This window comes from Homo sapiens, chromosome 5, assembly GCF_000001405.40.
Source record: "Homo sapiens chromosome 5, GRCh38.p14 Primary Assembly".
NCBI lineage: Eukaryota > Metazoa > Chordata > Mammalia > Primates > Hominidae > Homo > Homo sapiens.
In genome coordinates, this window is record NC_000005.10 from 117,268,259 (window position 1) to 117,282,727 (window position 14,469).

General features: G+C 34.7%; 1 long non-coding RNA gene across 1 annotated transcript; it reads left to right on the forward strand.

The window, feature by feature from the left end:
* The first annotated feature begins 3,672 nt into the window (after window positions 1-3,672).
* On the forward strand, window positions 3,673-12,198 carry LOC105379138 (uncharacterized). The gene is made up of 3 exons (XR_948695.2): window positions 3,673-4,425; window positions 5,118-5,292; window positions 11,907-12,198. It is a non-coding gene; the product is annotated as an uncharacterized LOC105379138 (long non-coding RNA).
* The last annotated feature ends 2,271 nt before the right edge of the window (window positions 12,199-14,469 follow it).

A 14,469-nucleotide genomic window follows, 5' to 3' on the forward strand; every position in this document is an offset into this window, starting at 1 on the left:
TTTAATCAAGAAAAAGATAAAAATATAACGTAGTCATACGAAGATGCTAGAGTTATATTGAGCTAAAAAAGCAAATTATAATAGAATACATATTGTGGCCGGCGTGGTGGCTCACGCCTGTAATCTCAGCACTTTGGGAGGCTGAGGTGGGTGGATCACGAGGTCAGGAGATCGAGACCATCTTGGCTAACATGGTGAAACCCCGTCTCTACTAAAAACTACAAAAAATTAGCCGGGGTGGTGGCGAGTGCCTGCAGTCCCAGCTACTCAGGAGGCTGAGGCAAGAGAATGGCGTGAACCTGGGAGGTGGAGCTTGCAGTGAGCCGAGATCGCGCCACTGCACTCCAGCCTGGGCGACAGAGCGAGATTCCGTCTCAAAAAAAAAAAAAAAAAAAAAGAAAAGAAAAGAAAAAACAGAATACATACTGTGTGAGTCTAGTAATATCAAGTGTAAAACCAGATGAAAGTAGATCCTAAATTGGATATAACACATATGAGTTCCCTGGAAGAAAGCATTTTCTTGTGGATTTGAGATTTCAAAAAATTTTAACACAAAGTCTGTTGCTACAAATGGCTGAATTACAATGTAAACTGACTCCTCACCCTTGCAGTATCTCTTATTTAAAGTTAGAATACTATGGAAAGAGTGGGACCCAAAAAGTCCAGATGGATGAAGACACCTCCACAATTTCCTTAAACATGAGGTCATCACTTTTACATAGTTACAGTAACTTTAGATCTTTGATGTTGAGCAAACTAACCCTCTTAAATACTTCCTATGATATTATTATCAAAGTGGGATAAGAAAATGGAAAAGAAATTTTTCGTTTCTTTTCCACTACAATGCTATGACAATGAGTAAAAGACAATTGAATCTAGTATGGACTAAAATCCATACTAGATTGCTTTATCAAAACTATGTTTTCACTTAGTGACCCACATATAAGTCAACTGGTATTTAACTTCTACTATAAACTCTACCAAAACTAAATTGAACCAATCTGTCCTTTTATTTGACAAATATATAAGTACCCACAGTGTGCTGGGTATTGTATTATAAACTCAATCACATACCTTATATTATTCTAAAATAATTATAAATAACTTTTATTATAGAAATGACATCACTTCAATACATCTGAATTTATATTTCCATGTATTTCTTCTGTTGCACTTACTCACCAAAGTGTAGCTAATTTGCTTGCTAGATTTGCAGTCATTGGCTATCTCCATCTCTTCCACATTATTTATGAATCCCTGCCTTTAGTATTCTATTAATTGTTTGCAGATATCTTGTAGCCATGTTTTTATTATAAGTTACTTCATAACAGTTTTGAAGGAAGGGAGAGTATAACAAAGTTATAACTGAAAAATTATTTAATGATTCTGATTCGCATAAAAATCACTGACATATTTAAATAGCAGATCTCTGGACCCCTTGGAAGGTTTTTCTAAAAACTTCAGTTTAATACCTGAGTCATGATTAAAGAAATAAACAACAGGCCAGGTGCGGTGGCTCACGCCTGTAATCCCAGCACTTTGGGAGGCCGAGGCAGGTGGATCACCTGAGGTCAGGAGTTTGAGACCAGCCTGGCCAACACGTGAAACCCCGTCTCTACTAAAAATACAAAAAAAAAAAAAAAAAAAAAAAAGAGCCAGATGTGGCGGCACGTGACTGTATTCCCAGCTACTTGGGAGGCTGAGGCAGGAGAATCGTCTGAACCTAGGAGGCGGAGGTTACAGTGAGCCGAGATGGTGCCACTGCATGCCAACCTGGGCTACAGAGTGAGACTCTGTCTCAAATAAATAAATAAATAAATACACAAAAGAAATAAACAATAAAACAAAAATGCAGCCTTATTAAGATGAACAAAGTTAAGTTCACCTTTGTGTTGAAGAATGCCCATCTAATTTTCTACAGCACAGAGGAAAGTGATTCCAGGTTCAGAAGAAAGCCTATCTTTTTAATATATTAGAGGTCAGAAGAGAAACGTCAAGGAGAGTAGTTAGAATGCATGTTGTCCCTTTAGACACATTGAAGACATTTACGTGTATTTCGAATTTATATTTCTGAAATTAGAATGTTATACACAGATTAATTGAAAGATACTTGTTTTGTGTTTTATATTTATCTATGGACGGGCACATCAAAGCCAAGGTCTAAAGTGGTTAGGGCAGGCCAGTTAGAAGATGACTGGCTTGATGTCATAGAATAAAGTTAACTAGAAATAGTCATATAAACCTTAAGTGTTGCTGCTTCAAAGAAACTGAATAGAAATATATTGTACATAGGTGTCTGCAATGTCATCATCATCTTTGTGCTCAACCTTCACAGTACAAAAAAATGTGATATTTTGATTTCCCACTGGAGAAGAAATATATAAAATAATTTTCAGGTATAACGAAAGCCTTTAAAAATCACATAAAAAATTGATTTTTTTCTCCATCTGCAGATATCTCACTTTGAAATATAATCCTCTGGTAGAATATTGATGGATAGCTTCCTCATGATGTGGTCTTTGAAGACAATAATATTAGGAGTCATGAGCATTAGAGAGTAGATTAAAATTTTTGTGCTCTTTGTCACTGTACTGAAGAATACATGATAGGTTTCTTCAAATATTATTTTAATTAATGGAGAATGCCTTCCTCTTCAGAGCTTATATTATCTATTTGAATAATATGTCTAGTTTGTGTCCTTATTCTTCCTACTCATATTTTCTGCTACTAAATGCATCATAATTTAACTACGGAATTTTGGAAATTTTCATCACCGTTACATTTTTGGTGCTCAGCACAGTGGTTAATATAAAATAGGTGCCCAATAAATATCTGTTTAACCTAAGGGTTGGTAAACTTTTTCTATAAAGTTTATATTATTAATATTTTAGGTTATGCCTGGGCTTTGTCATAGTTACTCAATTCTGCTTTTGTAGTGAGAAAACAGCCAAAGACAATACATGAACAATTGAGAATATCTGTTTCAAGCAATCTTTATTTACAAATATGGGCGAGGTTGACCTATGAGCTGTAATTTACCAACTGCTGTTCTAAAGAATGTCTGAATGAATAAATTATTGGTAACAAAAACAGTTCCTTAATTTTGAGAAAGAAAAAAATCATGTTTGTGTTGTTAGAAGGATTATTTGATAATACTTGAGGTTTAATCAAGAAAAAGATAAAGATATAACGTAGTCATACAGAGATGCTAGAGTTTTCTGAAATGATAGCCTCAGAATCCAATGAGGTATATTTTGTTCACTCAGAGCCAGTTTCCTAAATAAATGATAAATAGAAACAGAGAAGATCCACAAGCACTGACAGTGGACCCCAATCCATTTCTTGAGAAGAGCAAGATTGTATTCTATTCAGGATCCTTAAAATAGATATCCTGGTCTAAATCTGGCAGAGACTGAATAAATTGAAAAATGAGATAAATTATTTTTAATATAATTTTTATTGTGTTAATTTGTGGCCCACTCTTTTTAGAATTGCTCATAAAGAAGACTGCCAAATTATGTAAAATATGCTGAGAAGGCTTGCTCTAGTAACATTCCAGAATACAGTCTATAGCGTCCATGGTGACTACAATAGCTAATTATCCCCATATGTCACATTCTTGGCAGTAATGACATTTTAACAGATTCCAAAACCTATGCATTCTCTTCTAAGTTCTTTACTTGGGCATAGAACATGCCCGGTGTTAAAATAGCTTCAGCTAAATAGTCCAAATTTTAGGAAAATATCTGCATATTTAGGAGAATAATTATGCATGGCCTTTTATGGGTGTGATAAACTATACCATCAAAGAAAGTGTATCCTTTTGTCATACAGGCCATTACCAACAGCAGATTACACATTATATATAAGGCATAGTTTAGATAGAAGCCTAAAAATTCCTTGGGTTACTGTGCAGACTTGTCACATCAGAAATGTTCTAACCTTAATACAGGTTATAATTAGGACACATTTATTCTTTCTTATTTCCTAGGTTATGCAAGTAGATTTGATACCTGGTCACTTGTAGGATAAAGACGGGACAGCAGAAAAGCACGTAACCTCTGATTAAATCGTTTTTCAGGGCAGAGTGACCTTTGTGCCACTTGCTTGTAGTGAAGAAAGATAGAACTTCTTCAGCTCAAAATAAACAGTTCTCTCTGGAAGTCAGTTTTCTGAGTAGTCTACATACGGGCTTTTTTGAAATGAGGCTTGAGCTGGTTTCAGACTCAAACTGGTATTAATTGCCAACCACTATGATACTTTTAGGGTATTAGGGATGTATATGTTGGAGGACAGGAGAAAAATGGAGATTACCTAGAGATGAGAGATAAAAGTCCTGCGTCAGGGAATTTGGGGCTGAGAGGCAAAACTGAATTCTTTTATTAAACATGTTCCAGAGAAACAAGAGTGAAAGCTTCAAAACATGTGAGTCTGAGAAGTATGTACTTCTCTATCTCCATCATTCTACTTGTTTTGTGTGTGTGCGTGAGTTTCTGTGTGTGCATGTGCACATGAGCATGTGTAAATGGCCTTTGGGAGTAAGATTTTCAGATATTCCCCCTAAGTCTCATTTCTTATTAAGTTTCTATCTCTGAACTCAACAGCCTCTAAGAGCTATGTATATCAAAAATGCCTAGGCACCTGAATTCTGAGAGACATAGAGTTTTGGCTGTACTAACAGCTATTTTACATGACAATATTAGATTAATCATGAGAGTCACCAAATAGTTGATTAGATACTACTTTATAATTAATATGGGATTAAGCTTGCAATCAGTGGCATAATTAACATATATGTCAACACTTCCTTCTTCTGTATGAAAAAATATTTTCAATAATAATCATGTAAAACAATAATTATATTTTTTCTGGATTTATTAAACATTGTATAACAATTATAGAAGATTAATAAATATCAATTTTAAAGACTTTCAAATTAAGTAAAAGATTTAATGTGTGAACTAAGATTTACACATCTGAAACAAAAATATTACACTTCACAGTTCATATTCTAGTTCACTGTTTTAAATTTTAAACACCATTAAAAACTCTAGATGGTTACAAAGAATGATACAACTGATATAACTCAAGTTCTGTCTCTTCATCTTTCCCATCAGGGTGCTAATATTTTTAACTTAGAATCAACTGTTTAAACAAAGGAATATGTGGTGCTACAGAGGCTGGAGGTACTGTGGCCAACACAAGGTTGAACAAGGTTGAATTGTGATAGTCTTAGTTCTAAGGCAGATGTGTAAGTGAGTCCACAGATGTCATGGTATCAGACCTGATGAGGTAAGAGTAATTGTCCAAATTAACATCCCTGTGGAATACACTTTTTTCTATAGGGCAAATGATAAATATATGCTATTTTGAAGGCTGACTAAATATTATTGAAATTCAGCAGTAAACAAAGCAACTGTTTAGAATTTGGCCAACAAAATATTTTTTCAGGAAAATACTTTATCACTGATAGCATTTAAATGTCTGGCTCATAGTGATAAAAAGAGACTGGCTTTTGATTGAGTTCTTATTGTTTGTTAATTCTCTAGATGTGACTCATACTGCTTTATTGTTGGCACTCAGGTTGATTATTTGTGGGAGGGATGTTTTACATCTCATATTCTGCAGAGGTGGCTATTTAACCAGAACTTGTTAGCTCTCCACAGAAAAGTGCCAGCTTTAAGTTAAAAAGAAGACATCTTCGGATATTATGAGCTTTGATATCAGCGAACTTAAATTTTATCTCACAAATTACTGGCTAGGTAATCAATATACTGATGGTTATTTTAAGCCATTTCTGACCTTACTTTGCTAAGTGGAGTGAATATGAATATACATATATGGGTGACATGTGGGTGACAACAAAAAATGCTTGTCAAATGAACACTAAGAGGAAAATGAACTGAGATAAAGCCAAGACAAAGAGAGAAAGATACCTTTGAAAGAAAAATCAGATTTGTGCTCTTTCTAATCCACAGACAGCCAAGAAATGGAAGATTGTGCTTGTGTGTCTGAGAAGAGGGTATAATTCACAAGAATCTGGTTCTAGCATGCATTTGTATTATAGCATGTATCAAGACGCACACTTTCAATTTTTTTCTCTGCAAATGTTTGTAAGGCTGAGCATTTGTACCATAAGAAAATGTAGTCTGTTTTTCATTTTTCTTCTTGAGTTGTATTTAAATAGCATGTTCATATTTTATGACCTCTAATCGGAAGGGAATTTAAGCTACTTTGTCTATTCATATTATTCTGGGGCATTTTACACTCAGGGCTGCAAATTGTATACTTAAAATCTTTTATTGGAAAAGATGTCGTCCTTTGTTTATGAGTGCATCAATGATTATAGAAACAGGCAGCTCCATCCCAAAAGGAGTGTGCTGACCAGGATGTATAATTTGTCTCACATGCCCCAAATAGAGTCAAAACATTCATAATTTAAACCTGACTAGATGGAGTTCTCTAGCTGTATTCCATAACAGACCCTCAGAGAAAAGTTCTGAATATGCTCTCAAGTCCCATAACAACTTGAATGATGATTCCAATTATAGAGATGATGATTCTTATTATAGAGAAATGATGATTCTTATTATAGAGAATAAAAAGTTTTCAATAACCCCCCAAATTTCTTAAGAGACAACCCACAAATGCTTTCTTCATGATATACTATTCCAACAATGGAACGAAAGTTTGACTTTTTCATTGTCTTTTTCAATCATATCAGTATGAATATAATTTGGGTCGAAAATATATATTGACTTTAGATTGTGATATTTGTTTTGCTTTAAAAAACATATTGAACCCAATTCTCCCCATGTGTAAAAGACACCTACATCCAACTACAAGGGCAAAGGTATTATAAACATAAGGATATTTATACTCCAATTTCCCTTCCCTTATTTAAAACTCAATTTAGATTCTCCTAAAAAGCAGCAGAAAAGACTTTACAGCTTAGGTTTACAAAAATGTTTTTCTGTGTACTAAACTAAAGGAAAAATAGGTAAAATAAAATTATAAAACAACACTCAACTTTGATTAGAACATGCTTATTCAGTGACCATGTTTTACACACTATGTGAATGGAGAAAAACCAAGACCTTCGCATTCTACAAAGAGACTCATAGTTAGCTAGACTTAGAATGCAGATTTTATTACTCTCTCCAAGTGGGTCACCAAATTATTCCTTTTAATCACAAACAGTATGCTTCCAAGCTGACCTTACTTGTTACTTCTCTCTCAATCTCTCAGCAATTGAGTGATAGGCCTACCAAACTTCATCTGGTTGAAAGTTCTAAAATATGTTGGGGTTTGTGCCCTGTAGAAATGCAGAATTTTTAGATAAAAGACTTATCTGAATATGTAATGGAAGTGATGTATATACACACAAAACATTACATACGAATTCAGGGGGATTACTGACCCCTAAAACCTGGTCATAGATCCCATTTTGAGGTCCTCTGCTCTAGGGAACCCATGAGGAGTGTTTGTTTACTCTTAGCACAAAGCATCTCATATTGCAATTTTACTCAGAGAAGATGGCAACACTCAGCTTCATCCAGGTAACTCAATACGTTCTTTTACATTAAAAAAGAATGTCTGAGGAAGATGTTAAAACAAGTAAGTATTGTTTGGTTTTTAAACATCTGTCAATATACAAAAAAAAAAAGAAAAAAACAACTCAGTTTAGGAAAGTTTTTGTTGTTGTTGTTCTGTATGTTGTTGGTTCTGCAAAAAAGGAATAACTATAAATTCAGTGGATTATCAGGACATCACCTCCCTCAAGACAGCAGACTTACCAAGGGTCACAAAACAAACATGGAAACAAGCAAATGAACTGGCACTGTGAAAACCAAACATCTTTTATCTTGTCACTAAAATCTAGGTGATTCCTGGAGCACCTAATATGTAACTATGTATTAGTTACAAGTGAAATGCACAACTTCATGTTGAAATGTGGGGAAAGGTTTATTTTTTACTTCGATAACTGTGTCATTGGTTTTGTTAGAGTAGGTAGTTAGGCAGACATGAGCAGGGCAGAACCCTTCCTCCACTCACCACCATGATTATCAGGTGACCATAAGGTGATGGTAAGGTGGTTGTTAAACTGTCTCTCTCTAAAATAATAATTGGATGCAGCCAGCACCAGGGAAAGGCAATCTCCCAATAGATAAAAAACACCAGAAGCTGGTGATCAGCAGCTTTCCGATAAGGTCATAGGAGTTGGGCGAGTGGGCTCAGGCATGTGCACTAAGAGGAAAAATGGCAGTTTAACTGGTATATGACTTCCCTCTGGGAACACTTGACTAGTAAGGGAAATGGCTCAAATGAACATGTGCACAATTTCAGTAAACACACTGCGCATGCAGCCCCTCCCAAGGGTTGACAGGCCACTGTCCATGGGGACAGCCCACCCCAGGGGAAGAATTAGGGGAGAAGAGATGCAAGACCCCAGAAGCATGACAACATGTAAAACCCCAAACCAAAGTGAAACCATGTACTTGAATCTCCCAACTCTCCCACTTGGCCTTCTTCCAAGTATTCTTTACTTCCTTTCATTCCACTCTAAAACTTTTTAATAAACTTTGACTCCTGATTTAAAACTTCCCTCCGTCTCTCACTCTGCCATATCCCCATTGGGTGAATTCTTTCCTCTGAGCAAGAATTGAGTTGCTGCAGACCCACATGGATTTGTGCTGCTAACAGTTTTGAATAAAAAAGTTAAAATGAATCTTATTCTCAATCAAAAGTTAAAATGTGCTATATGGAGTGGAAATGGGTCTGATATGTAGAAAACACATAATTTATTTCTAACATCATTTAAATGTGCATGTCTGCTCTTTTTAAAATAATTAGTTTTGCTCCAATCTGCAGTCAGCTACAATGCAATTTATTTGCATGGTCCTTTGGACTTGTTCATGGTATCTGTTTCATATAGTATTATAACTGCAATTGTAAATACATGAATTCCTTGTCTTTTTCCAAGATAACACTTTTTATGGCGAATTTTTTCCTTTTTTAAATGCTGCTCCTTCTCAGGCCCTGTGCAGAGTATCTGCATTTGTTCACTTAATACAATCACCCTATGTGAAGAAGCTAATTATTGTCCTTGTTTCAGATGGGAAAACAGACACCAAGAAGCTGAGTTGCTTCAGGCAATAAATTAAGTCACATTGAAGCTGAAATTTAAAGACAAAATCCCCTGACCCCAGAGCTTGAGCTCTTAGCTACCATTTATCATATATTATGTGAAGTAAATTATTTACCTTGAATTATCTAAACATCCTTCCTTCCCCACATCTTTTCTCGCCTTGCTTGGCAGAGGTATTAGAGTGAATGATAATAAAGACAGTCTCTGTTTGAAAGATCAAAAATCCAAGTTCACTATCATTGTTTACTGTCATAGGCCACCAACAGAGCAGCATATCAAAACTGGTCCCTTCAAATTCTAAGACAAGGCTGGTGGCTGTGCTGTTTCTTTATATCATACAACATCATTCTAGTCCCTTGATTTACAAAATGACTTATTCAAAGGATTCTTAGTTACAACACTTACTTATTGTTGATGAGTACTAGGAAACAGTATGGAAAGCTTGTCCATATTATTTTTTTATTTTTTAGTTTGTAAAGCAATTAAGGCGAAAGTTATCTCAGGCCTTTTTGCAGCTATAAAATATGAGAGGTTTTTACACATAAAATTATAATTAAAAAACGTTAAAATAGCCCATAATCTCACCATCCAGATAAAATAAATTGGCACAATATTTATGCAGGTTTTCTTATCTGTATCTCTAAATAGTTATGCTTAGAGTAGTTAAATCATAAAGATGAGCAACATGTGAAAAAAAGAGCTTCCTTTCTTATATCCCCAAACCCTTTATCAAAGATATCTACTGTTAATCATTCCTTGTGATTTCTTCTAGAAATATATTTTTTTGTGAGCGCGTCTTATTTTATTTACACAAAAAGAATTAAACAAGCTTCCATTTTCTGCCCCTGAATATCTTCGTTTAACATACCAAATATTTTTCCATATTAATACATAGAAATCTACCTCAATCTTTTAATGCCTTATTATTTCTTTTTTTAAAAAAACTTAATTTTATTTAAGTTCCAGGATACGTGTGTAGGACGTGCAGGTTTGTTACATGGGTAAACCTATGGTGGTTTGCTGCAACTATCAGCCCATCACCTAGGTATTAAGTTCAGCATCCATTAGCTATTTATTCTGATGCTGTCCTTCCCCTGAATCCCCTCCCTGTGATGTTCCCCTCCCTGTGTCCATGTGTTCTCATTGTTCAGCTCCACTTATAAACGAGAACATGCAGTGTTTGGTTTTCTGTTCCTGTGTTAGTTTGCTGAGGATAATGGCTTCCAGCTCCATCCATGTCCCTGCAAAGAACATTATCTCATTCCATTTTATTAATGACTTATTATTTCTTAATTCAGATACCTCATAATTAAATTGGTTTATATCACATAGGTGGATATGTAGACTATTTGCGGGGTTTTTTTGGTAGCAAAGTATCGTGCCAGAAATATTATTTTACATATATCTTGAAATAATTTAGTATGTAAATTTTCAGTCATCGCATTGCTGTGTGCATTTAAAAACCTACAATATGGTCAAATTGCTTTATGGAAAAGGTGAAATTTATCTTCCTCCAAGAATGTAAGGGATTGCCTATATTTCTAAAATTTACCACCATTAAACATTATAACTTAATGTGTTATTCTGATAGATGAAAAGAATCATGTCTTGCTGATTTAATTTGCATTAATTTAGTAATGCCATTGACCATGTTTTAACACATTTTTTGGCATTTTGGCATTTTTCCTCAAAGTGTCCTCTCACATTTTCACATTTTATTCCTATTAACCATCTTATTTATTTTTATGAACGCTTTGTAAATTAAAAAAAAAGTGACCTCTTGTAAGTATTACTAATACCCTTTCCAGTTTATCATTTGTTTTCTTTGACATTGCACTTTTCTTACCATGTGGAGGTTTTTCTTTTCTGAGTTTTATATTCTGTTTATAAAAAGTCCGCTCCACTAAAAAATAATTAAATTCCATTTTTAATACTCTGTATTAGTTTTGCAGGGCTGCTGTGACAAAGCACCACAAACTTCGTCACCTAAAACAACAAAAATGTATTTTCACACAGCTCTAGAGCGCAGACATCTGAAATCACGCAGACATCTGAAATCACAGGGCAGGGTCTTGCCCTGTGTGAAGTCCTTCCCCTAGCGTAGGATCCTTCCTTGTTTCTCCCAGCTTCTGGTAGTTGCCCACAAGTTTTGATGTTTTTTGCTGGTGGATACATTACTCTAATTTCTACCTCCATCATTATATGGACATTCTCTTTGCATGTCTATGTTCCTTTGCTTTTCTTGAAGAACACTAGTCATTGGATTATTACCCACCCTAATTCAAGATAACCTTATTTTAATTAAGCTAATTATATTGCAAATCCCTTATTTTCATATAAGTTTACATTCTAAGCTTCAGAGTGGACATGAATTTCGAGGGGTTCACTATTCAACCCAATGCTAACTCTTAATTTTGTTTTTTTACTTAATAATTTGGAAATCATTTTTGTTTAAGGAGTAGTTTTCAAACTTTAATATGCTTCAGAATCACCTGGAGGACTTGTTAAGTACACACAATTGGGACCCACACCCAGAGTTTCTGATTCTAGGTTGAGATTTAAGATTGCTGGTGGTCTGGGTGCCCACTTCCTAATGAGATTAATTATGTCCTTTCAGAATTCAAATATTGAAGTCCTAATCTCCAGTACCCAGAGTGGGACTGTATTTGGAAACAGGACCTTTAAAAAAGTAATTAAAGTAAAATGAAGTCATTAGGGTGGGCCCTAACCTAAAACGGCTGATGTCTTTTCTGATAAGAGAAAAGGATACTGAGGAAGACCACGAGGAAAAACCAGAAGATGGCCATCCACAAGCCTAGGAGAGTAGCCTCAGAAGAAACCATCCCTGCTGACATCTTGATCTTGGACTTCTAGACTCCAGAATTGTAAGAAAATAATTCACTGTTGTTTAAACCACCCAGTATTTTGTGTGTATTACGGCAGCTCTAGCAAGCTAAGGCAGAACAGTCGTGTAAAAGGAAAAGTTTCTGTTTACACAGTTCCAAATGGCAGCCTGTTATTCAAATACCAACCACTGAATGAGTCCTTCAGTCCCTCTGTATTAGTCCATTTTCACATTGCTATAAAGGAATACCTGAGACTTGGTAATGTATAAGGGAAAGAGGTTTAATTGACTCAGTTCTGCATGGCTGGAAGGCCTCAGGAAATTTGCAATCATGGTAGAAAAGGAAGAGGCATGTCTTACATGGCAGCAGATGAGAGAGAGCAAGTGTGTGTCAGCTAAGGAAAAACTACCATTTATAAAACCATCAGATCTTGTGAGAATTCACTCAGTATTGCAAGAACAGCATGGGGGAAACCACCCCAATAATCCAGTCACTTTCCAACAGGTCTCTCCCTAAACACCTGGAGATTACAATTCAAGATGAGATTTGGGTGGGGACACAAAGCCTAACCATATCACCCTCTTTCCCCACTGGTTTGCATCCTTGTAGTAAATCAAAATCCCATATTTATTATAATTTATTTTGGCCTCTATTCTGCTCCATTAAACCACTTTTTATTTATGCAGCTCCAAAGTACTTTAATATGTTGACACAATGAAAATTTAATATATTAATATGTCAAAGGTTTTGAAATTTGTATGATATTTTAATATCTAGCAAGATTATTCCCTTTTCATCTGTCTTCTCAGAATTGTTTTAGATATTTCCATCTCCTTTTCAAATGGGGACTTGATAACATTCTGCCTTTTGTTATTTAATTATAATCACATTTCATATACATATGAGTTTAGAATGAATTAATATTTATAAACTTCCTATCCAAGAATACATTCTATTTTTGCATTTACTTAAATATAATTTAATGTCATTTCATATATTTTTATGTAGAGTTCTCTATATAAGTCTTGAACGTTGTTATGTTTATTTCAACATATTATTACTTTGTATGTGAATACCAGTGCAAATGGGATTTTCTCTTCTATTGCACTCCATGTATGTTTCCTTTTTATATAAGAATATGATTACATTTAATGACTTCTATTATTATTTCTAACGTTTTTTAGTTGACTCGAAATTTCTAGGTAGACAGTTACATCATCTTATATGTTTTGATCACCCAATTCAATATTGATCACTTTAATATTTTCTATTGTCGATTTGTGCTGGCTAGTTATATCAGTCAGTATTTTTAAGTGAAGCAGTAGTACCTGATTCTGGTTTCTTTAATCAGAAAATGAATTTAGATAATAAAATACCTGGAAGAGTAACAGAAGACTGTCAGCAAAAACCAAAGCAAAATCATGTCATGCAATCTCTTTGGTGACAACCTTGCTGCCACTGCTCTACATAGATGCCATGGCAAGCACCACCTATCATGCCAGCACTTGATAGAGTACCTCTGAGCCTGGCATGGCTAGTTTGCTGCCACTGTCTGCACACCCTCCTTCCTTGATTTTCAATGCTCCTGGCTTCTTTGCATTGCAAAGCTCCAGTCAAATTCATATGCCTTTTTTCTACGGGCCATAAGGACCCAGAAAGTGAGAAACTGGCTCTACCAGTGGTATGAGCTCTGCATAATCAGATGCTAGAGCTCTGGACAAAAATGGTAAGGGTCGATTACATTAGTACTTCCAGATCAAGGTTAACTAAATATGCTAATAGGGGGTGTTATGAGCTACAATCCTCCCCCGGCTCCTTGATTTTTTTTGGTTCTTGGCTCCAATAGAATAGTTCAAATTTTTATCATGAAAAATCATGCTCACTTAAGATGACATATATATATATAATTTCATGTTAGAGTTAGTCCTAGTTTTAGTCTACTGATAAGTTTTTAAAATCAGAAATAGATTTTAAATTTTGACAAACATCTATCTCACTGACATTTATTAAGAAAATGGTATTTGTTTTCATTTGACTTATCAGTTATGTATTGCATTATTGACTTCCTGTTATTGAGTAATTCTTATATTTTTGTTATAAACTTCCTATGATCCTAAGGAGTTATTGTTTTCATCTACCACTGACATCCATATTTCCCTTTGAAAATGTTGGATTAGAAATAAATATTCATTTGTGAGACTGGTTAGTATTATCTGTGGCGTATTTGTCACACATTATATCAGTGTTTACCTGACTTCAAAAAAAAAAACAAAGATTTGATTCTTTCACTGTAATGTAATACAGCGTGAGATTTATTTATTAAGTAAAACAACAAAGGAATTTTTGTGTTAAACTGCTTATTTGGAAGCACATATGTTTTAGTGTTTAATTGTAGCTTATTTTCACAGAAAATAATCTAATTTAGCTTAAAAATTTATACAGAGCTTTTAAATAATTCCATTGTCATTTTTTAAC